Consider the following 25199-nt stretch of genomic DNA (forward strand, 5'->3'; position numbering starts at 1 on the left):
AAAATGTATGACACTTTTGCTTTGACATTTTCTACGTGAATATGTATAAACATTTCACACACCTGAGGATTATGGATATATATAATTTAGCAGCTCCTAGCAAAAAGGGAAGCAATTTGGGTTAGTTTTAAGAATGTTCAAAAGAAAAGAGAATCAAGATTTGTTCAAACTCCCAACACCATTGTGGATATTCCTCCTTTTCACATATAAGAAAGCAACCTCAGGAAGTTTTGTATAAATTTTTCCAATGTCACACAGCTAGTGCGGTGTTGAGCCAGGACTTTAACCCATATTCTGGTTGCAAAGCTTATGATCTTCCCTTGCAGGACTTAGAAATAGGAGGATATAACTGATGCTTGCTTTTGGTATTATTATATTATTGTTGGTTTTACTGTATATTGATATATTGTAAAGTTTTATGATAGATATTACAGTGTGAATTTTTACTTTAACAAGAATAAGTTTCTATTTTATCGACACACTTTTCAAGTAGATGTTGAGATCTCCTAATAAAGCCGTCAGTGCTTCTTTGTTAACTTATTCCTAACAACTAGCATAACGGAGCCAATCAGAATCTGAACCATGCGGTAAGACTGCAGTGAGTCTAAGTTTGTAGAGTAAGTCAGAGGTCCTGGCAAAGAAAGCCTTGTTAGGCATTAGGACAAGCCTCCTGTGAGTTATAAGGAATTGCCTTGCAAATTGATGGAACATGAGAAAGTAATATCAGCCATGATATTCCAGCACTTTTTAAGAAGACCTGACCTCATGTGTGAAGTCTGAGCCATAGTCCACTGAAAGACATAGCAGACCCCACCTAGGGTACCTAAGCATAGTGAGGGTTGGAGGTTACTTTTAATTCACAACATTAGGGCTTATCTCTAACACTAACATCTTCTTTCCCAGAGCTAGGAAGGCTCCTCAAAGGAAGAAGGGGAATACAACTTCAAGAGATAAATCCAGAACCCATTTGTTGTCAATCTTTGTTGTGTTTGGGGGGGGGGCTGTTGTTGTTGTTGTTGTTGTTTATATTAGCTTTAGATACTGACATATCACATACCAGATTTATTTCCTTTTGAACTACAATAGTATTGTGCTGCAGATTCTGAATAAATGTAAAATCAGAGTGGAGTATCAGCCACAAAGCTAATAGCAATACATTGAAAATTCATCAAGAAATTGCCAAGATTCTAGAAGACTACATTCTTCACCCAGAATATACCATCCCCATCTAACCCACATATAAGAAAAGTCGTTCTGAAAACTCTATGCTAACTGCAACAATGAAAGAACATTTAGCTTATAAAGGGGCACCTGTGTTCCTCTGGCCCCTGGAAAATACCTGAGTTTGTTTATTATTGAATTTACCTGAAAGCAAAACTTTCTTAAGTATTTCCTAGTCGCCTCTTAAGTTTTTAGTGTTTCCAATGATAAATATTGAAGTTTGATCAAATGTAAAGTAACTAATTCTGTTTATCTCCTAAGTTTGTTTTCAAAGCTAAGAAAATATTAATAAAGTCTCAGACTTACATACGTAACATTGTTCTTGTTCTATTGGTTCTCAGAGTGTTGTCCCCAAAGCAGCATTCTGTTTCTCAAGGTGTAGGCCCCACCCCAAACCCACAGAATCAGAAACTCTGGGAGTAAAGACCAGCAATCTGTGTTTTAACAAGCCTTCAGGTGATTCTGATATCAGCTAACGTTTTGGAATTACTGCTTAAACTATATTCCATTGAAACTGCTTTCAACCTGACCCTATTTTCTTAAGTGGTCTTCAAGTTCATATAGCCAATAAAACTTTTTTTTTGTATTGAGTGTGAAATATATCAATTTTTGTTTCCTCAGGTGTATTTTTTGTAGTTCTAGTTGTCGTATAGCATGTTTCACGTAAGCTGAAGCGTTGCCTCATTGCCTTGCTGTTTCTTACCTTATCATCTTTGCATATACCCTTCCCTCTGTCAAATTTCCACACCATTGCCTCTCTTCAATTTCCCACTTGTAAAAATAACATCCCTTTAGAATTTGATGTGAGGATTCAATGAGAAGGTATATGTGTATGTACACATACTTGGAACAGGACTTGGAACATTTTTGGAATAGAGGAAAAGAAAGCCATGTGAAATTCTAATTAATTACTTTATCAATTACAATTTTTAATAAATTTACTTCATAAAAGAAAATTTTGGTTTATTCATAAAATTAAGGGCAAATACTGAAACTTGCCATGTATCTCATTTTGGTTTAATGAAGAACAGTAGAGGTATATGTAGGCCAGCTGTTCACCGTATTCTATAAAATGGTAGTTTTCATGCATGAAGCATGAATCAAACCTAAGTTAAGAACCCACATAAATATAAATAAAGCATCTTTTCTATTTGGGCTGAACTACTTTGGATTTTATATTAGCTAAATTAAAAATATGTTTTTATTAGGTGCAAGCAGTTTCCAAAGTGCTTTTCCTGGCTCACATCTTGTCCTTATTTTCTTGAAGGGTCGGTCTAGCACAGTTCAAGCAAGTTTTCTGGTCCTGTTTGTCTGCCAGGTGGTAACAGAGTAGGAAACCCACAGAGAAGTTAAGTCTATGAAGCCTTATGGAAAAGAAAAACTGACCTTTTCTACAGCAGTGACCTAGGAATGAGTCAGCTCTTGCATCCAGTCACTAGTGACTCTGAGGATAAAGCTTATTTTCAGCTAAATGCCAATTAGGGTTTCAGAGGCAGAGAATGTGCAGATTCATGTAGAGCAAATCTTTAAGCCACTATAATAGGTGAGAGTTTTTACAAAAGTCAAGAAACACAGATGATGACCCCTGCTGTGGCTTTGTGTCTATTGTATCCAAAAAGCTTTTATACCATATTATGTGTTTTATGTGTCTAGATGGCTAGAGAGGAAAGAAAACTCAGTTTGGGATTTTTTTTTCCCCTTAAAGTAGGAGCTTTCTTGTTACAGTTGGAAAAATACAAAAACTTCCCTTTTCTCTCCTTACTGATTCCTTGCCTCTGCCTATCCCCTGCCCCCATGGCTCTTAGGATGGGGAAAAAAAACTAAAAAATGAGAGTGAAAAGGTATTAATTCCCCAAAAACACCCTTGTAGTGGCATAGTGGCCATATGCAAGAGCTGAATAATTCCCAGAACAGAAGCATATATCAGTGTAGTTCCCAAAATGTTGAATTTTGGGAGGTGATATCAAATTTGAGCAAAATGTTTTTGAGTGATTTGGACTTGCAGTTTTATTAAATTCATACAGCCAGTTTATTCCTCATCATGGTTAATAAAATTGCCATGGAAATATTAAGAAACCTTTTTAAAAGTCTCAATGCTGTCATTGTAGTTATAGATGTGTTACTTAGTACAAATTGAAATACACCCTGTGGTAAAATTTATTCTGCAAAAATAAAAAATCTGTGTTGCATAAGCATTCAAATATGTCACACTTTTTGTTCTTAACGTAATATAGTCACTCCAAAATATTTGAGATTTTGCATGAGATCATGGTAGAAATCAAAATGTTTTAACAAGTGGATTCTTAAATTGGTTAAAAAAAAAAAAAAAAATACATGATCCATTAAGTGTCTTGAACACTGGAGTATTTTTATTTGATTAAATTTAACTTTACAATGATGATTTCTTTTAATTTTAGAAATGAGCACAGAAAGAATGATGAATCATAATGTCTACCAAATTTGTTCAAGGAAAATTATTTGAAATATTCCCCTCAAAAAAGAAACTTCTTTTTTTCTAAACAGAAATAAATTTTTCTTTATAACCAGAATTAATAGTTTATTAAATCATTAAGTCATGTGATATTGCATTCTACAGAGCTAGCCATTGTTTTCATTTTGGTAAACCACCTTGCAAATCTTTGTTTTTGTTTGGTGGCATGTACACATATATTCACAAACATACAATTTTATATAAACTGAATAATTATTTGCTTTTATTATATTTATAAACAGTGTTGTCATGAACACCCATTACATTCTTCTTTTGTGCTTGACAAGGAGCTTGAGCACTTTGGGATTCTTATGATAAGTATATAGAATTGCTGAGTGGAAGGGTACACACATTTAGCAATGATACATTTTGCCAGTGCTTGAGAGAACTGAATTGTTTTTCATACCTTTAAAAAAAATCCCATGATATTATAATAACAAAAAATTGCAGCTTTAGGCAATCTCAAAGAATGATTAGCACTACCAACAATTTAGTTTGGTTTAATGTATTTATTGAGTATTGAATGCTGATTTTATGTCAGATTTGGTGCTAATTATTGGAGTTGCAAAAGTGAAATGAATACAGTTTTATTGGACTACTGGAGATTACAAAGAAAATAAACAGCCTGCTAAAATACAATATGATAAGCTTGATGGTAAGGATAATATAGGGAGCTTGTGCATCAGTATTGAGAGTCCAGTAAAGTCTTTATGGAGAACATGGCATGGAAGCTATGATCTGAAGGATGACTATGAGTTATGAGCAGAAGGGAAGTGGAAGAGAGAGGAGTGTTTTAGGTCATGAGGAATAGATGTTAAAGATTATATTATACATTCTGAGAACTAACAGGATTTTAGGATGTGGGAATGCATGCAAAAAGTGAGGCAAGAGATAAAGATGGAGAATGAAGCAGAGCTGAGACCATGAAGAACCTTGCAGTCTTAAGGAGTTTGGACTTTGAGAATTAAGGGTCACTGTAGCATTGAAGTGATGAGATCAAATTTCTCATCACTTTAAATATTGTTTAAAATATTGTTCTGGCTCTAGTTTGGGCAGGGACTTCCAGGCAAGCAAATCACAGAGCCCCAAGGCCAAAAAGATGTGATACACTTGATTTGGGCAGGCATCTGTACCAAAAGAGTCCAAGCCTATCAGTTAGACAAGGCAGTAAGAAAAGGCAAATTTTAAGGTCAGGTGAGCAAAAGCACTGTTTATCTAATTGCTCTTCTGTCTTGAAAAAGCAAGCAAAATACTTCCTGGGAGACTTGGAAACTTCAACCCATGCAGTGAGGAAAGAGCCTGGATTTAGAATTTGAAAAATGCATCATAACAATAGTATCATCATCAACATCATACTGTGTTGTTATTATCAGGAAGGCCACATTTAGGTATACTTGATTATAGACCTAAGGTAAGGATAAATATAGGGAGCTTGTGCATCAGTATTGAGAGTTCAGAAAAGTCTTTGCAGAGAATATGGCATGGAAGCTGAGATCTGAAGGATGACTTTGAGTTATGAGGAGAAGGGAAGTGGAAGAGAGAGGAGTGCTTTAGGAGGAATAGATGTGACTCAAACAGAATGACTCATTTTATGCCTTATTCTTGAATAGATGCTCATGATAGATCTCTCATGCATAACTGGTTCAGGACCCAGGTGGAATGGGCTTGCATGGGAAGGAGGCACTTCAATGTCTGTACCTGCACTGTATGAGAGAGGCAGGGCCAAAAGTTCCTAAACGTGAAAAGCTTCAGTAATTCAAGAGGATCACTTATATGCAGCTTCATTTGTGAAACGCTTTGTAAAGCTTTATGATATCCTAGAAGCCATTTTATATAATTTTGATACATGCCGATGAAAGTCTAGATGAATGCCAGAGAAACTTCCACCTCATTTTTTTCTTATTTAATCTATACCATGTACTATATTTAAATCATTTGTCCATATATTCATTTTTTTACATAATGTTGAAAGTGTTTTGATGTCGGTAAAGCAAATTTAACAAGGCAAGAACACTATAGGAAATGGGAAATCTTAAAGAATTTACATAATGCTTATCTGTTACCAAGTATGGCTTTCACAAAAATGACCTCATCCTCTTTAAATCCTGATCGACATCATTCTATCTGATGCTCTTATCTCAGTGATTTTTATTCTGTGTGCTATATTTTAGACGTCTGTCTTCACAACAAAATTTCTCCTCTTCCCAAACCCCCACATTTCCCTCTGATGGGTCCCAGATTAGTATTCTGTACTCTTTCTCCCTTAGTGTATGCCTATATTTATTTAGCACCAACAACATACTGAGTCACAGTGTTGGATACTGTGATAAATGTGGTTCATTAATATTTTTCCTAATGACTTCAGTTTTTCATGAAAATGATGCCTACTCAGTATAAAAAATTAAGGCAATAGAGCAGAAAGAAAAGAAAATAGAAACCCAAAATAACAACACACCTAAAAATATTCTGTGAACACGGAAGGTGTACAAAAGGAATGCATAAGCTTTTCGTTTTGTTTTGTTTCGTTCACTTAGAAGCATTATTTTAAAAATAGCCAAAGAAAGAAAGCTTTTTTCCAAGGACAGTAAAGGTCAGTCAATTAAAGGAAGTCTATTAATGTAATATAGCATATTAATAAATTGAACAATAGTATTTCAATTTTTAAAATACATCAATTAAGTAACAAAACAACATTCCTTCTAATAAAAATATTAAATATAAATAGGTCTTCTCTGTGATAAATAGTAGTTCCTTTTCTAAACCAAAATTCAAAGTATTATAGCAATAGACCCTTCTCTCTTAAATTAAGGTAGTGTATATCTTCTTTTAAGAAATGTCTATTCCTATCCTTTGCCCATTTTCAAATAGGATTATTGGGTTTTTTTATTGTTGTTTGAATTCTTTGTATTTTCTGGATATTAGCTCCTTGTCAGGTGAGTAGTATGCAAATATTTTCTCCCATTCAACAGGTTGTCTGTTCACCTAGTTATTTCCTTTGCTTTGCAGAAGCTTTTTAGTTTAATATAGTCCCATTTGTCTATTTTTGTTTTAGTTGTTCTGTGCTTTTGAGGTCTTAGATGTAAAAATCTTTGCCCTAAACCAATGTCCTGAGGTGTTTTCTCTATGTTTTCTTTTAGTAGTTTTATAGTTTTAGGTCTTATGTTTAAGTCTTTAATCCATCTTGAGTTGATCTTTGTATATGGTTAGAGATAGGGGTCTAGTTTTATTCTTCTGCATGTTTTCTCAGCACTATTTCTGGAAGAGGGTATTCTTGTCCCAGTGTATGTTCTTGGTGCTTTTGTTGAAAATCAGTTGACTGTAAATATGTGTGATAATTCACATGTTTTGTCAATTTATGGTGTCTCAAGTGTCATGAAGGCTTTGCTCATTTAAAAATTCTTTTTCCTTGATATTTGTCTGACCAGGTTATTTCAAAAGATCTGTATTCAAGTTCTGAGATTCTTTCTTCTGCTTGATCTAGTCTATTGTTGATGCTTTTTTTTTTTTTTTTTTTTTTTTTGAGACAGAGTCTTGCTCTATTGCCCAGGCTGGAGTGCAGTGGCACAATCTCAGCTCACTGCAACCTCTGCCTCCTGGGTTCAAGTTATTCTCCTGCCTCAGTGTCCTGAGTGGCTGGGATTACAGGCATGTGCCACCATGCCTGGCTAATTTTTGTATTTTTAGTAGAGATGGGGCTTCACCATGTTGGACAGGCTGGTCTCGAACTCCTGACCTCGTTCGTGATCCTCCTGCCTCAGCCTCCCAAAGTGCTGGGATTACAGGCATGAGCCACCGTGCCCAGCCGATGCTTTTTTTTGTTTGTTTTTTAGACAGTCTTGCCCTGTCACCCAGGATGGAGTGCAGTGGCACAATCCTGGTTCATTGCAACCTTCACCTCCCAAGTTGAAGCGATTCTTCTGCCTCAGCCTCCTGAGTAGCTGGAGTTACAGACACGCACCACCATGCCTGTGATTGTTAAAATCTCTATTTCTAGGTTCCTGAGACCAGTAACTCAGAGTGTTCAACTATCAGTTCCAATGCTTATTGCTCTGGTTTTCAGTCCCCCTCCTCATTTTCCAAACCCTGGATATTGCCCTTGATTTCTAGTGAGCTAAACATATGTATTTAAAGGTGTTTTTAAAAATGTACTCTATTCAGCACTTCTATGTGTTGAGTCACAAGAGAGTTTTCAGGTTATCTAGTATACTGCCTTACTAGAAATGGAAGTCAAATTTGTTTTTCATGTTGAATTAATATCATTTGTAAAGTTGGATTGTGAAATAGACATTTGGCTAAAGACTGGGTTTCTGCCACAGCAAATGTACTCCACTTCTGTGAAATCTTGGCTAAGCCAAGTTTTTGTTATGAAATAACATATTTGATTCTGAGATTTTTACTTGGTGCTTAGACAGAATAGCAATATCACCTACTGATATTATTGGCACTTTATGATTTTGTTTAAGATACACTGTTTAGTGTGTTTTGAAAAAAAGAATAAAATTTTCTAAGATTTGAAAGAGATCTTACAAAGATTAGGGGTCATCTACATTAGACTTCTAATCTTTTCATTAAAAATACATATGATCTTTCATATGGAAGGAGTAAGATTGTAAGTTTAAAGGCTATATACAAGTGTGTTTAGATTTCTCCTTTTCTTTCTAAATTACAATATATTTAAAGATATGGATATAGTCTTTTTATTCGTAAGTAATGGTGTAGCAGATTATAAAGGGCACATAGAACATTAGCTCTCAGATTAAATGTTATCTTTTGATAGATACCTTTCAGGATCACTTAGACTAAAATAAGGTAGGTTCTCTGTTAGCCTCCCTCATAGAATTTCTAAGTATGTATGCATTTCTTTGTTGACTCGCTTATTCCTTACCTTTTCAGCTAGGTTATAATGAAAGAAAATAAGCAATTCACTTTGAAGCATTTAGTGACCAGAGTTAGGATATGGGAATTTTGTAATTTTTAGTTTTTTTAAAACTGTTACATTTCTCACTTGCATAGCATATATTTAATCTAAGCAGTGCCCCAAACACAAAAACTAATCACTGTGCTTTTGAAATCTGTATCTCCATGGAAACAATGGAAAAACTTGCCTTTTTAATCTCTTTTGTTAGACTGAGATCTCATTTTGTCATTAATAGATTCTGTAAATAGCAAGAATAGGAATAGTGGTAGTGGTGGAGGTGAAAGCAATAATAATAAGAGAAGCAAATTTCTGTTTAGTACTATCTTGGGCCAAGTACTATGCTAAGTATGCTAAATAATTTCCATAGAATCTTAGTTCTTTCTTACAACAACCTTACTATTCTTTTCATTTCTAGGTGAGTGAACTGAGGCTTACATTGGTTAACTTAGTTGTCCAATGCGGTACTGCTAGTAATAGGTAGAACAGAGCTTCGAACACAGAGTGGAGTTTTATTGACTAACTTTTGTTAGATATTTGCATGATATAAGTATACATTTTCAAAATGTGTGTATAAACTACAGTACATTTTGGCACTTTTTGAAATATGGTGAACCTACATCTCTGCTACAGCTGATGATACTGTAAGTCTAAAAATTGTATGAAACATCTATAATTTTAATACATATGATGGGCTTTTATTACAGCTATTTTATGATTTTATCAACAGCCAAGCTGCTGTTTCACTACAAACAGATTGGATATCTTTGTGATTAAAGCAGCAGGCTAAAGACCATGAAGGGTATACTGTTTGGTTTTCAATCATTTCCATGTGTTATGAATTCTTATCAGATGTTGGGAAATAGCAGGCTTAAACTAACTGCAAGTGCTACATCCGTGGTCCAAGAAACAATAGTCTGTAATGGGCATGTGTTTAGCCATCAGCTTGTTTAACAAGGCCTCTAAGCAAGTTCATTTACCATCATATATAAGAAACTAACACATATTCCATTTATGTAGATTTAAGATCTCTCCAACAGCATGTCACTCAGGTCTTGATAATCTTCATCAATTTTTTAAATGTGAATATTAGAGAAGATCAGTGCTTGACTTCATCACCCTTATATTAAAATAATATTTCTCGTGACATAAGAAAAAATAATAGATATAACTAGAAGTTTTCCTAAGGCACATTCCTAGAAACTGGAGAAAATGAAAAAAGCATCTGGGAAAAAATAAAAACTAGACTGACAGTTATGCAAGATACTTGACATTTCCATTTTAAATCCTCAATCGCATGTTCAAAAGCTGCACAGTTAAAAAATAATTGCAGGATTTTAAAAAACTACTTCAATCAAGTAATAACGAATGATCTTATAAAAATTGTAAATATGTTGACATTGTAGTAATAAAAATTTTCTTATGTAGTTATTTATTTATAGTATCTCCTGTTGTATAGAAGATATTCAGCTTAAATCCCTCTACTGGATATTATTTAAAGAAAAGGAAATTGTTATATCAAAGGGATACCTATACCCCCATGTTTATTGCAGCACTATTCACAATAGCCAAGATGTGGAGTCGACCTTAGAGTCCATCATTGGATGAATGGAAAAAGAAACTGTGGTGTACATACACAATGGAATATTACTTGGCCATAAAAGGATGAAATCCTATCATTTGCAGCAACGTGGAAGGAACAAGAGGTCACTGTGTTAAGTGAAATAAGCCAAGCATAGAAAGACAAATATCGTATATTCTCAGTCATATGTAGGAGCTAAAAACCTTGATCTCATGGAGGTAGAATGCAGAATGATAGATACCAGAGGCATCTGGGTTTGTGTGTTGGGGGGGATGAAGAGAGATTGGGTAATGAGTATAAACAGTTGAATAGAAAGAATAAGCTCCATCCTCAATAGCAGAGTAGGTTGACATAGTTAACAATAATGGATTGTATACTTCAAAACAGCTAGAAGGGAGGACTTGAAATTTACACAACACAGAAATGTTAAGTGCTTGAGGTGATAGATACCCTTAATATCCTGACTTTACCATTACGTATTCTATAGCTGTAACAAAATACCACATGTAGCCCATAAAAATGTACACATATTAGAAATCAATAAAAATTGTAAATAAATAAAATATTCAGTTTAAAGGTAAGGTATGAGTCTAAAAGTACTTTTCACTTATTAGGTGGTTAGCAGGTTGAGTGAAAACTGCATGAAGAATTAAGATGTCAGTGTCATGTTGATAATTCTATTATTTTCTTGGATAATTTTGAAAAATCTCTTGCCATCTCTATACTTCAGCTTTTTTGTGTCTAGGATGAAGACGTCAACACTCAGCATCTCGCTGCTTCCTTAGTGATGTGAATGAAAACCAAGGAAATAATTTTAATTCAAAATGTGCTTTAAAATGCCAAATCAAAAGGAATTAAAATGATCTGCGTGGTATAACTTTTTACACTTATAATTTTGATTATGCATTTTAGAAACATTATTTTTTGCCTTACTTAAACTATTTTTCTGTGATGATGAAACTGAGGCAAAGAAGGAGAATTAATTGCCTTTTCATGGCCAAATAATGCTGTTTAGTCTAGGTCTTTTGGTAAACACATTTCTTCCCAAGACCCCCACCCAAATACTTTGTCTAATCATTTGGAATGCTATAAGTTGACATTAGTTTTAAATGAAGAAAACAACTCATCACTGGCATTAGAGTAGATATCTTTAGCATTAATAATTAGTGTCATTTTATCATTAATTTTCACAGTTTTAATTCTTTAAATTGCTAATGTAATTTAACAGTCATGAGTTGGTTGTAGTATATTTTGAATATAAAAATAAATGCCTTCTAAGCACCAGGTAGTCAGCACTGTCCTGGGTTACAGATTAAAAAAAAAAAAAAAAAAAAAAAAAAAAAAGCACCTGTTAGTGTGCCTACTCATATTAATCCTAAATCTTTGCATCAGTTTTGCATATTATATATGTTGAATATAGACACAATGTATAGATGAGAAAACTGAGGATCAATGAGGTTGACAATTTTCCAAAGCTATACTCAAGTGCCACTTTTTCCATGAAGGCTTAAAAGATGTGGAAGATTTTAGTAGACAGAAATAGGGGAAAAACACCATTTTAAGTAGTGGAAATGGCATGAACAAAGGAGTATGTGTACTGAATCTCAAAGTTTGCCATGGTAATTATGACTAGTATGTTTTGACTGAAATTTAGAGTAACTGTAGAGGATATGTGGGGGATAAAGTTGAAAAAAAGTAGTTTGAAGTTAGGTCATGAGAGAGACTTAATTACTTAAGAAAGAAATTAGTGCATAATTCAATAGGATTTAAGGAGCTGTGAAGATCAGGGGAGTAGAACTGTAGGATTTGGGGTATGTGTTATAAAATGAATGGAAGAAAGGTCAGACTGGAGGCACGTAGACCAAGTAGGAGACTGTTAACCAAGTGAAGTCCTGATGGCCCAAACTAGATTGCTGTCACTAACCATAGAAAGGAAAAGACTTTATAAAGGAAAAAGGAAAGATGTAGTAAGTAAGCGAGTGATAACTAGAAGGTGGGCTTGACAACCAGCATTGTGGTAGCTTTATCAGAAATAGAAAAGAGAGGAATTAGTTGGTGTTCGTTGAGGAGCTAACATTATCAATCTCACTTTTAAAATGGTAAATTTGATGCATTTGTGGTATGTCTAGTGGAATTTTTCATCTGGCAGTTAGAAATGTCAATTTAATCTTGAAAGTGGAAATAGGTAAAAGATAGGCTAATAATCTTGATTTTATATGTTGGGTGCATTAAGACAGAGAGAATTGCAGTCCTGAGTGTTGATGAAATTTATAGAGAGGAAAAGAAGGTTGAGAAGCATCTAATTTTGAGGAGCAGAAGGTAGAAAAGTAGAACCAGTGGAAGCAGAGAAAGAATATCAAAGAGGTAGGATAAGATCCTAAGTGTCCTAAGACACTCATGACACTATTTCTGAAATAGCAGAGGGGCAAAGTGGGGTAAGATGTTCAACAAAGTTGGATTCTTTTCAAGGTCTAAGTTACAATCTAACCAGAAGCCATTGAAATTTGTGATTAGGGGGTCATAAGTTACTTTTGAGAGAGCCATTTAAGGAGTGTGTGGATTACAAGTCAGGTATTAAAATGGGTGGATAGTGGGTTAAATGAAGACACTAAGAACAGTTGAGAAATCGGTTGCAAAAAAAAAAAATGGAAAAGCCAAAGGTGTGAAAAAATTGAGGGAAAATATTGTCACTTTACTCACAAATGCTTGGCATTTATACTTTACCCCAGATCCTTTTCTCAGCTCTATCTTTCATTACTAGTTACCTTGCCCCACTTTAAATTATTTTATACAATAGCCAAATACCTTCATGTTTTAGCATGTACCCTGTTTTTCCACCTCTCTTTCTTGGTTTAGACACACTGCTTGGATGCGTCTTCATTCTGTCTGTAAATAGCTAATTCCTACTTATCACTTATCTTTCACATCACAGTTCACATGCTTCCTCTGTGAGGCCATCTCTTATTTGTCCTGCAGTACTCTTTTCTTCACTGAATTTCAAAATGCTTCAATCATTTATTTGTCATGGAAGTTGCTGCTTTTTATTATGTACTGTTTTTATTATTGATGTACATGGCTTATATCCCTCCTTGGAATTTAGGCTCCTTGAACATTTTCTCAAGGTGTCCATGAAACAACATGGAAAGAGCATAGACCTGGAGTTCAGATAGTCACATTTTTAATTTCTAGCTCTGTCACTTACTCACTATGTGACTTCTAAAAAGGTGTTTATTTTATCTTCATAAACGTCAGCCTTTTTACCTATAAAATGCCTATATCACAGCTCATTAAAAAGATTATTGAGGGATAGAGGAGGTAACTGATTTACAGAACCTAGCAAAGTGAGGTTCCCTTCCTTAATCATTTTGATTTCTGTGCCAGTACCCAGAATGTTACCATATAAATATTAAGTGCTCCAGAAATTGCTAAATGAATTAGTAATTTCTTTGCCAATACTAAATGTATAAAGCTACTGTAATTTCTAGGCTGCTGATATTTTATTGGGTTTTTTTTTAAGAAATTCTTTTTTCCATTAGGGAGTAACTTATTGCAGATTTACTAGATAAAAAATATATTCAATACAGAAATATCTGGTGGATAAATGCTGATGTCATACAAAGCATATTAAAATTCAAATGAAATATAACTGTGAGGAAAACAATAAGTGGCTTAGAGTTAGTAACAGTTTATAAAAGCCATTTTTTTTTTTTTTTTTTTTACCATTTAAGCAGAGACTAGGCTTTGAGGAGGCCAAGACAATGCTTTCTGGACTCTAAAGTAAGCCCATAGTTTGGCAGTATATGGTGACATATACTCCAAGCTTACAATTTTAATTCTCATTTGAACATATTTAAATATATTCTGATGCCAGTGGATAGGATGATATTCCAAAGAATGTAAGATTGGGAATCCTAAATTTAGACTGTGATCTAAAAATTGGTTTAAAAACTTGCACTTCGTTTCAAGAGTTATGGATTCCACAGTACTAACAAATGGTGTTGCTTGAATGGTCTCAAAGATTTTGACAACATTGTAAATCTTCAATCACTTGAAACATTTAGCATAATGAAGCAATTTTTAATAATCTGTATAGACCTACCCTTCTCTGTCTCACCTTGTCATTTTTGAGTTTTTATTCATCATTGCTCAGTTTGTATATGATATGACTACATTAATATAGTGTGTCTAAATCTTTGACTATTTAAGGATAGATTTTTAGAAGCAAGCATTGTGCATTCATTGCCCTCTTAAAATGATGAACAGAGTTGTTTGCTGTATATAGTAGAAATAACATTCATTTATAATAAATAATAAAGAACTATGCCCATATGACAGACAGCTCTTAACAGTGGTGCTATTTTAAATAGAGGACCTAAATCATAATAGCTACTGTTTGTTGAACATGTCTTGTGTGCTCAATATTTTACATAACTTACCCCTAATTTATAGTTGAATAAACTGAGTCTCAGAGAAGTTAAGTAACTATTCTCAGGTCACCTGGCTAATAAGTGATAGAGTTGGCTTTTAAATCAATACTTTCTGAATCCAAAGTTAAGTCTTATAATAGCTATGTTCTACTCCCTCTACAATAGTATCGTAAACAGTCTATACTTTCTTTGCCTCATTCTTTGTGTACTTCAAATTATTCTCATAACTAGTTTGTCTACCCTAGAAATGCACCATTTCCTCTTCAACTCTCAAAATAATCTCTACCTCAAAGACCTTAGTGTTCGGAAAACATCATCTAAATGACTGAATTACTTACCAAATTGAAAGCTATACAAAGTAGCATAATAAAAAGATAGGAATGTTTGATGGAGTAAATGGAAGATGTGTTTGCTGTTCCCTGTGCAGCGGCTACCCAGTTCCATTTTTATGTCATGCCAAGTAAATATGGGATATCTACAGTTGTGTTCATATAGCTTTAAGAAATAGGAAATAATTGTACTTACCTGAGAACACATAATGACAGCCTAAACTAGGCATTGATGGTTAAAGTCAAGAGGAGCTGTTATATGTGAGAGAGATTAGAAAATGATGTACTTCAACACTGATTCAATGAAAGGAAAGGGAGAAGAGTCCAAGGGAAATTTAAAGTCTGGTCATTCAAAAGATTATGGTTCCATGATCAAATAGAGACTTCAGGAGAAGGAACAAATTTGGGCAAGAAGGAGACGATTTCAGGTTTGGACATAAAGAATTTGTAATTATGTTGAGATGTCCAGCCTGCTGTTTCTCTAGAGTTGAGTCCTTGAAATGAGGCTAGTCTCAATTGAGATTTGCTATAAGTGTAAAATGCACACTGTATTTTGAAGACTTAGTACAAAAGAGAGTGTTGAATATCACATTAATATTCTCTATATTGGTTTTATGTTAAATTGGTAATATTTTGGATATATTAAGTATGTAAAAATTAATGTTTCCTTTTAGTTGTTGTTGTTGTTGTTGTTGTTTTGAGACGGAGTCTCGCTCTGTCGCCCAGGCTGGAGTGCAGTGGTGCGATCTTGGCTCACTGCAGGCTCCGCCTCTCGGGTTTGCACCATTTTCCTGCCTCAGCCTCCCGAATAGCTGGGAGTACAGGTGCCCGCCACCCCGCCTGGCCAATGTTTTGTATTTTTTTTAGTAGAGACGGAGTTTCACCATGTTAGCCAGGATGGTCTCGATCTCCTGACCTCGTGATCCACCTGCCTTGGCCTCCCAAAGTGCTGGGATTACAGGCGTGAGCCACCACACCCGGCTCCTTTTAGTTTTTAAATCTGTCTACTAGGAAACTTAAAATTGTATGTGTATTAGTCTGTTCTCATGCTGCTAATAAAGACATACCCAAGACTGGGGTAATTTATAAAGAAAAGAGGTTTAATTGACTCACAGTTCTGCATGACTGGGGAGGCCTCAGGAAACTTACAATCATGGTGGAAGACATCTCTTCACAGGGTGACAGGAGAGAGAATGAGTGCCAGCAGTGGAAATACCAAATGCTTATAAAACCATCAGATCTCATGAGAACTCACTCACTATCATGAGAATAGCATGGGAGAAACTGCCACCATGATCCAATCACTTTCCATGAGGTCCCTCCCACAACACATGGGGATTATGGGAACTACAATTCAAAATGAGATTTGGGTGGGGATACAGCCATACCATATCAGTATTAAATTTCTGAGTTAATCTACGCAGAAATTTGTAGAAGATAGGTACAAATGCAGGACCATTAAGGCAAAACATCTACATTTGGAAATAACCTATATAGGAGTGATAGTTGATGTTATGAGATTAGATTAAAATGCCAGTGTACAAAGTATAGAGATGAGAAAAATGTCAACAATTATAATATGGGAAGAAAAAGAGTAACCAGGAGAAGAATTGGAGATTCAAAATGCTAAAATGGTATATAAGCCTGACTGGGATAGAATTCTAAGAAGAAAGGAGAAGGAAGGAATAATTAACATCATTGAATGATAGAGGCCAAAAAGGAAGAGGAGAAATGAGAAAAGGCCATTGAATTTGGTTGATATAGAAGCAGTTTCAGTAGACTGTAAGAGGGATAGATTGCAAGAGATTAAGAAGTTAGAGGTTAATAAAGCAGACTGTATAGGTAAACTATTCTTTCAAGAATGGAGTCCATTTGTGAAGATAATAATCACTTGATTTGAGCCAAGTCCAGAGAAATTTGAGCATTTTTGTTTGCTGAATAAAAGGATCAGTGAGGTGGGAGTGTTTGAAATTGTAAAAGAGAGAAGATAATTTCTATAATAAGATCCTAGAGCATTGTATCCCAAACCTGAGTACATACTGGAATCATCTGGGGATCTCGTTACAAGGGCAAATTTCCAGGCAACATTCCACATCTAAAGTTATTATATTCCCTGGAGGTTTGTCTCCCCCAACATGTTGCTAGCAAGTTCTTCCAGGTGATTATGATGTATCCACAGGACAAACAAGGAACTTATGAGTGCTGATGAGGTCATCAGTGAAATGACTGGTCATAGCATCCAGTTTGAATAGATAGCCAATTAGGGCTAGAATGGGGCTGATGGACCATGAACTACAGTTAAGGAATTGGCTTTCATTATTATGGGAATATGTGCAAGCTTAGTAGAAATGAAAGGCTGAAAAAGTTAAAAAGGTAGTGGATTTTGATCACTGAGGGAACTTTCAGAATTCAGGATCTTGGAGGCCAGGCAGATGCAAAATGTGGCTGTGTGTGTCTGGTGTGGAAAAAAAGATAAAAAGAACTGAGTTACACACATCGTAAGACCCAGCAGTTTGGTAACTAATACATGGCAGTGGTAAAAAGGTATAGGATTTGGGATAAGGAAAGAAGCACTAAAGGTTCAATCACATATGTAATTATCTAGACTTCAGATTCCACTAAACCTTGGCTTTAATATCTTTGATAAACATTTTCAGAGTGGAGTGCCTACTTGGGTTTATAGCCTTTGAATTTCCATGATTCACTCTAGATTTTGTTGAAAATACCGTGGGTACTTGACTTTCATAGATAATATATGCACAGTCTTGACCAGTTACAAGTAACCCTAAGGGTTTATGATAATGAGTAGTTAATAATTCTTTGCAAGGCATGAATTTGAATCTCCTGCCCTAAAACTGGCATGGAGAAGCAAGTCACTTAGCTAGTGCTTTGTAGTGAAGTCAACATTTACTTCTAAGTTTGTCTTTAACACATGATTATATTAATCATCAGACCTCACCCTGGTAGATTTAACTACCAGGAAATTAAAAGGAAATGTATATGCCAAACTGTAGTATTAAATGAGTTAAAAACTTGGGTTTAAAAATCAAATGAGTTAAAAGTTTGTAGCGTGACACCTACCGTGTAATAATTACTTAATAAATGGTAGTCACTGGTACCAGTTCAGGAATTCAACCATTTTTGAAGCCAAATTTTTTGTGTATGTCCATGCTTAATGAGTAATATTTATATTAAAAATTTTGTTTTGATCCAGTATCTCCGTAAATTATTAAACTGAAACTAGAATGTTAAATTTGTTAGTGAATTAGGAAGATAATGGGTCATTTATCACATATTTGATAGGGGGTATATTTTATAGTAATTCGTATTGTTATTATGAAAAAATTAGAACTCTTAAAATCCTTTAAGTGTATTTCTATAGCACAAGTATACATACACAGAAACAAAATGAATGAATTACATTATTCACTTTATTTTTCTTAGATGTAGTATACCAATGATTCTGTTTTTGCTAAACAACTTTTACTCTCAATATATTATATACTTATATAACTCTTTTTGCTTTATAGTGAAGAGCTCAGAAAAGAAGCAAGACAATTAAAACGGGAACTCTTAGCAGCAAAACAAAAAAAAGTAGAAAATGCAGCAAAACAAGCAGAAAAAAGAAGTGAAGGTAAGGGCATTTATCACGCTTATTTTTTCACTTGATACTCCTCCTTCTCTGTTTTCTTAGCTCCTCCCTGCCCGCTCCCGTATTCATCCCTTCCCTTCTCCTTTCCTTCTCATTTTTTCTTCCCTCTTTCTTTCCCTCCCTCTTGAGTTAGGGTGTGTGTGTGTGTGTGTGTGTGTGTGTGTGTGTGTGTGTTTTTAATACTTTCTTTGAACAGTTAGCCAGGAAAATAAATTTCCACCCAGGAAATTTGTCTAAGAAGTAAATTCAGTGCAAATGGGATTGTAACTATTGTTCTTAAGTAACCTTCATGAAAACTAACAGAATACTTGAAATCTAGCAAAACTTAAAGGTTGCCATAGCATCTAACTAGATTAAAAGTGCACAAGGGTGGAATGTTTATATATATATTGCATATTCTTTAAAACATTTTTAAAAAGTGTTTGAGCCCTGTGGTTGGGACTTAGGTAAACATTTGTGTGTTGGTTTGAATAGTATTAAATACCTAATTTTGTTTTTTGTTTGTTTTTTGTTTTTACTCTTATGTTAAGACATAGAAAGTCTAAAGTATTGATAAAGCTGATCAAAATAACATCTTGCTGTTTATACAGGTTAACTAGCTTCTTTGTTTCACTACGATTTTTATTAAGCTTCAAAAAAAAAGCTTTTTCATTGATGATCTTTAATTTAGTTTAAAATTGTTTCAGCTATAAAGCATGTAATGTTCAGTTTCTAAAATAACAGCTTGGAACCCACATCTGTTTTCTTTTTACAGTGATAAATTGTATTGTCCATTCAGTGAATATGATCAGAAATTTTATTCAATTGCCTCTTATAATGTATACTAAGTTTGATACATTTGATACTAAGTACATACATGTACACATTTGCTTGTACATATATATTCTATATTTTTATGCTTTTGAAAGCTTGAAGTGTTTTACCTACTAGATTCTATTAACAGTCACTGGAAGTATATTAACAAATAAGATGTAGCATCTAGCCTTAAAGACTACACATTCTAATACAGTGGCACAATGTTTGGCCATAGGTATTATTATTGTTTATTTTAAGTAGCATGAGTAATACCAGATAACTATTTAAAGGGCGTAGTTCTCAATTCTAAGATTATTTGTACAAAATCCCCAATGACTATTTTCATAAAGGCAGATATTATACATACTTCATGAAGATTTGAAAGTCATTGAAGTATATATTTGAATGAAACATTATTTAAAAATTAACTGAAGTATAATGGCACAAATAATAAACAATTTAGAAGAAGGGATAAACTTATTTGTGACTAGATCATGAAGGCAAAATGTAACCCAGAATAGAAACAGTATCTTAGCATTAATGAGATTTGAAACAGGTACAGTCAGGATTATTTTATTTTTAGGTTTATAAGTAATTTTCTTAGAAGACTGTTTCTTATAATTAAAAGTATTTTAAATATATGAAAATAATTTCAACTAGAAAGATCTTTCAACTAGAAAGAATAAAATATAAAACTTAAATATTTTATTTGCTTTTGAGCTAATAATTATTAGTACCCTCATGTCTTAAACACTATGCTGGATTAGGAGTGTAACACTGTGACTTATAGTTACGATCTAGTAGGAGTGAAAGAAATGCAATAGGTATACTATAATAGTGCCATACAGGTAAGGCCTATATTAGACATAAGCAGTGCTAAGTTTATTTATTTGTCTCCCTTTGAAATAATAAATAGGTAGGTAAAGACATTAGTCTTAAAGACTGATTTCTTAATGCAAAAGAGAAGATTCTTAACAGAGCTCATTTCAATCTGCTTTTATTTATTTATTTATTTACTTATTTTTTGAGATGGAGTCTCACTCTGTCACCCAGGCTGGAGTGTGGTGGCGCGATCTTGGCTCACTGCAACCCCCGCCTTCGGGTTCAAGTGATTCTCGTACCTCAGCCTCCCAAGTAGCTGAAACTGCAAGCATGCACCACCACACCTGTCTGATTTTTTGTATTTTTAGTAGAGACAGGGTTTCACCATGTTGATCAGGCTGGTCTCGAACTCCTGACCTCAGGTGATCTGCCTGCCTCAGCAGTGTCAGAATGTTCTGACACACATTCAAGGATTCCTAAAATTTTACTATGTTTCCATAATGCTATGTAGTGAGAAAGCTCATGGTATCATTTTTAATCATGAGGAAAGAAGAATTTCAAATATAATGTGGTATTTACTAAAATCACACATTTTTCATAATAAATTCATAGTCAATTTTCTACCATTATAACAGCAATACTTGCCAATTTTAAAAGATCACAGTAACTTTAAAGGAAATACAATTCTAAGAAAAAGGTAATCCATAATGTACATCATAGATGGTTCTAAGAAAGAATTTTGCTAAGCACTCTAACAAAATACTGATAATAAAACATAATAAAATATTGCTCCTAATAGCACTCTAACAATATTAGAATCAAAATCAAATGGTCTACTTAGTGCCCAGCTCTTGCTTTCTAAAAACAGTACTCCGATTAGAGTAACCACAGCTCCTCAAAGAAGTGGTTGATTGCAGGTCTGGAGAACTGAAAATACAAGATCAGCCGGAAGTATCTTGTGGTACCAGAAAGTAAGAAAGTGCTCAAAGGATGGGGACAAGCTAAAAGGGCACACAAGCTAACCTGAAAGAGCTACCAATGGCCAAAGCTGGAAAAATTTGAAAAAAATAAATAATAATAGTTTCATATAATTAACTAAATATATAATATAGTTAATATAATTATATATAATATAGTTAATATAATTAACTATATATAGTATAATAAATAATATAAAGTATATAAATAATTTGTTTATATATAAATATATAAATAACATATATTATTTATTATTATAACTTTATAAATGTCAACATATATAAATAATGTATATTTTGGGATTATAACACTATATAATTTACATTTAAATATAAATATACAAATAGCATATATTATTATTTATTATTATAACATACATGTCAACATATTATATAAAATATATTTATAAATATATTGGCATACTTATAAATAATTTATAAATAATATAAATATTCACAGCTCATACTGAAGTAAGGATGTAAATAACAGAAGAGAAAGTTCTTTCTTACAGAATTCCAAGTAATTAAAATAGAAATCAGAGAACTAGAAAGGCACTATTAGAACACCACAGTAAATAACTGTTGCCAATAAGCAAGATCTACCATCTACCAATAGATGCTAAAGTTAGTAGAGAGAAACTTGAAGAGAAACAGAATATTTGTATAGTGTCAAAGTATTTTCCCCTAAATATTTATAAAACTCAAAGGTAAAAAGAGTAACTTTATAGTACAGCAACTCAGCAGACACCATTTTAACCAAGGGATCGAGGTAATATCACCAACAATAAGACAGAAGACATTGTGTTACTCCTGATATAATGCACTGAGAAGGAATACTACTTCTGTGGTAATCTTCCCAAAAATAAATAATCATAATTCAATTAGAAAACATCAAACTCAAATTGAGAGACATTCTACAAAGTATCTAACCAAAACTCTTCAAAGTGTCAAGGTCATGAAAGACAAGGAATGATTGATGAATTGTCATAGATCAAAAGAGACTAAGGAGACATGGCAAATAAATGCAGTTCAATCCTAGATAGAATCATAGAACAAAAAAAAAGGATATTAGTGTGGAAAATGGTGAAATTCTGATAAGGTCTATAGTTAGTTAATAGTATTGTTCCAACATTATTGGCATGGTTTTGATCACTAATCTATGGTCACGGAAGGCCTTAACATTAAAGTTATATGGTAACTGTATTATTTTTGCAACTTCTGTGTAAGTCTAAAATAATTTCAAAATAAAACAACGAAAAGTAAATAAATAAAATGGCACATTTTGAGATGAGAAAATACAATATCAATCAAATGACCCAATTTTGGGTGAAGCTAATTTTAACAGTCATTTGGATTTAGAGAAAATCCAGTTATTTCTATATGATATAAGGAAAGTTAACAGAAAAATACTTACTAATATAATTCTCTTTCTAATTATGGCATAAAAATATTTTCACATGGTTAACAATCATAAAAGCAAATTGAGGCCGGGCGCGGTGGCTCACGCCTGTAATCCCAGCACTTTGGGATTGAATATAGAATTTGCAGTAGGCTCTAACACCCTAATTTAGGTAAACAAAAAATGTGGTGTTTTACTATAGATACCAGCAATGTCAAAAGAGATGTACTGCAGGACAATCCTGTTTACAGCCTTGGAGTGTCTTTAGTCCCATTGTAAATCATCAAGGCCTGTGCATAAGGTTGTTGTGGGGGGTGGGAGGATAATAAATTTTGAATAAGATTGATGGTTAATTGGAGATAGAGTTGGTTTCCTGTCTTGGCTCTGTCAGGTTCTTTAATAAACTATATAATCCTTTTCATTAAATCATGTCTCTAAGTCTTTTCCAGATTTCTTTAAGTTTCATATCAAAACCAGTACCAAACTGAACATAGTCACATAGAGATGACAGGTTTGGACATATTCTCTAATCAGCTTTAAAGAGATAAGGTGTTAGGTCCTCTTTCAAAGTTCTAAGCAGACAATTCCTGCTCTATGACTGGTGCCAGAAATTAGAGGAGAAGGGTCAGGCTGAGCTTGTAAATCAAGAAAAAATTTTAAAGCCTTTTCATGAAACATATCCCTGAGGTGCCTAGTACCTCTCAAGTTGCACTGGGTTATTTCACATTTCTTCAGACTATCTTTTTAATACTGGATCAAATCAGACTAGAGTCCCTCAGGCTTGATAGGTTGTGAAAGTATATAGTTTTTGAGTACTTTTCATCTGGGTAATATATAGTATTAAACTAGCTTGGTCTTAGTTGGTATAAGAAACAAAAACCCTCTTTGAGTGTTAGCTCTGTGTTCTACTTAATACCATGTAAAATTTTCTTATTGAGCAAACTGGTTCTCTTTTCCAAAGCAGTTAACTTTCTTTAGGTACTGTTGAGTTATTTTTTTTTTCTTGGAACCCAGAAGTATCAGACCTATTTTTCTTCGTAGTCTACTCTTAATCTATGTGCTAATTTTTACTTTATTTACATAAAGTGAAAGTATATTTGCACTTGACTCATTGGATGCATCTCAGGCCAGCCATCATTTTCTAGTTCTTCTTACTTTGGGCATAGCCACTAATAAATTGATTATCTGGTTTTCTAAGCTAAAAACCAATTAAAGTATAAAAGTGAGGGAGCGTATACTCTAAAAGGGTGAATTTTATGGAAAGTGAAGTATATCTCAATAATTTAATAAATAAATAAACAAGCAAAAGAGAAGCCAGAAAAGGCACTGACCTGTGGACCTTTCTAGCCCAGTATTTTATTGGGCTAACAACAAATTTTTTTTAAGTGTGAGAGAAAAGCATGGCTAGAGACATTCATTCATTTTGGTAGCAGCAAGAGGTGATCGCCAACCAGCTGACACTAGGTCAGGAAACACAAGAACATAAGAGTCAAATATTATGGAAATACTTGTTAAACATACTTTACTCTGAATGTGTATATCTTTAAAAGATAAAGTTATCCCTACCTATTGTAATGGGCCTGATTCATTAAGAGAAGTTTAAATTGTATTTATTATTCTTTAATAAGATAGAGAATGGGCAATGATTCCAACCTAATTAGTTAAAAAAATTAATCATTTTAATCAATTAAAGATAAAGTTCTCTTATCTAGACTATTCAGTTGTGTGGAATACCTCATTTCCTGAAAGTCCTGGAAAAATAGAGCTTTATTCTGTAGCTAGGGCAGTCGGCCTCTCAACTGAAATTTTCTTGAACCCCTTACTACCTTTAAGTGCTAGAAACCATGCAATATTTTAAACAAGATATCTTTCAATAATATAATTTCTTAAATAGTAAAGATTTTTAAAGGTCTGTAGCAAATATGAAGATGTACATACCCTCACAATTACATGAAGAATTTAATCTTTTGGTAAAGTAAGAGATGATCATCTTTAAGAGTCCATAAAGTACTTTCTTCTTTTTTAGACAATCTATCTCAAACTTTCTTCCAAGTCATAATTAGCGAATCTTGTTGAGCTTTACTTTGTGAACCCTACATTATAGGCATATTTAATTTTTATGAGCAATAAAAAATAAATTCTAACCAATTCACATATTTTTATGTCTTAAATTCTGGGTCATCTTGCAGACCTCCTAGTGTTGCTTGGGATACTTTGTTGTTGTTGTTGTTGTTGTTGTTGTTGTTGTTGTTGTTGTTACAGAGTCTCTCTCTGTCTCCCAGGTTGGAGTGCAGTGGTGCGATCTCAGCTCACTGCAACCTCCACCTCCCGGGTTCAAGCAATTCTCTTGCCTCAGCCTCCTGAGTAGCTGGAATTACAGGCACGCACCGCCACACCTGGCTGACTTTTTTATTTTTAGTAGAGACGGGGTTTTGCCCTGTTGGCCAGGCTGGTGTTGAACTCCTGACCTTAGGTGATCCGGCTGCCTCAGCCTCCCGAAGTGCTGGGATTACAGGCATGAGCCACCACTCCCAGCTCTGTTGCTACTCTTATTAAGAACCAATGTATTTAGGATATCTCTCTGCATCC

At 34.0% G+C, this 25199-nt stretch overlaps 1 protein-coding gene across 3 annotated transcripts in view; it reads left to right on the forward strand.

Moving 5' to 3' along the window:
• CWC27 (CWC27 spliceosome associated cyclophilin) overlaps window positions 1-25199 on the forward strand; it is a 249846-nt gene that overhangs the window by 98030 nt on the left and 126617 nt on the right. For all 3 annotated transcript variants that reach the window (NM_001297644.1, NM_005869.4, NM_001364478.1), the window contains exon 11: window positions 18496-18599. In NM_001297644.1, the coding sequence (NP_001284573.1) occupies window positions 18496-18599 (104 nt within the window). The remainder of the gene's footprint in view (window positions 1-18495; window positions 18600-25199) is intronic.

The sequence above is a fragment of the Homo sapiens genome, chromosome 5 (assembly GCF_000001405.40).
Source record: "Homo sapiens chromosome 5, GRCh38.p14 Primary Assembly".
Classification (NCBI taxonomy): domain Eukaryota; kingdom Metazoa; phylum Chordata; class Mammalia; order Primates; family Hominidae; genus Homo; species Homo sapiens.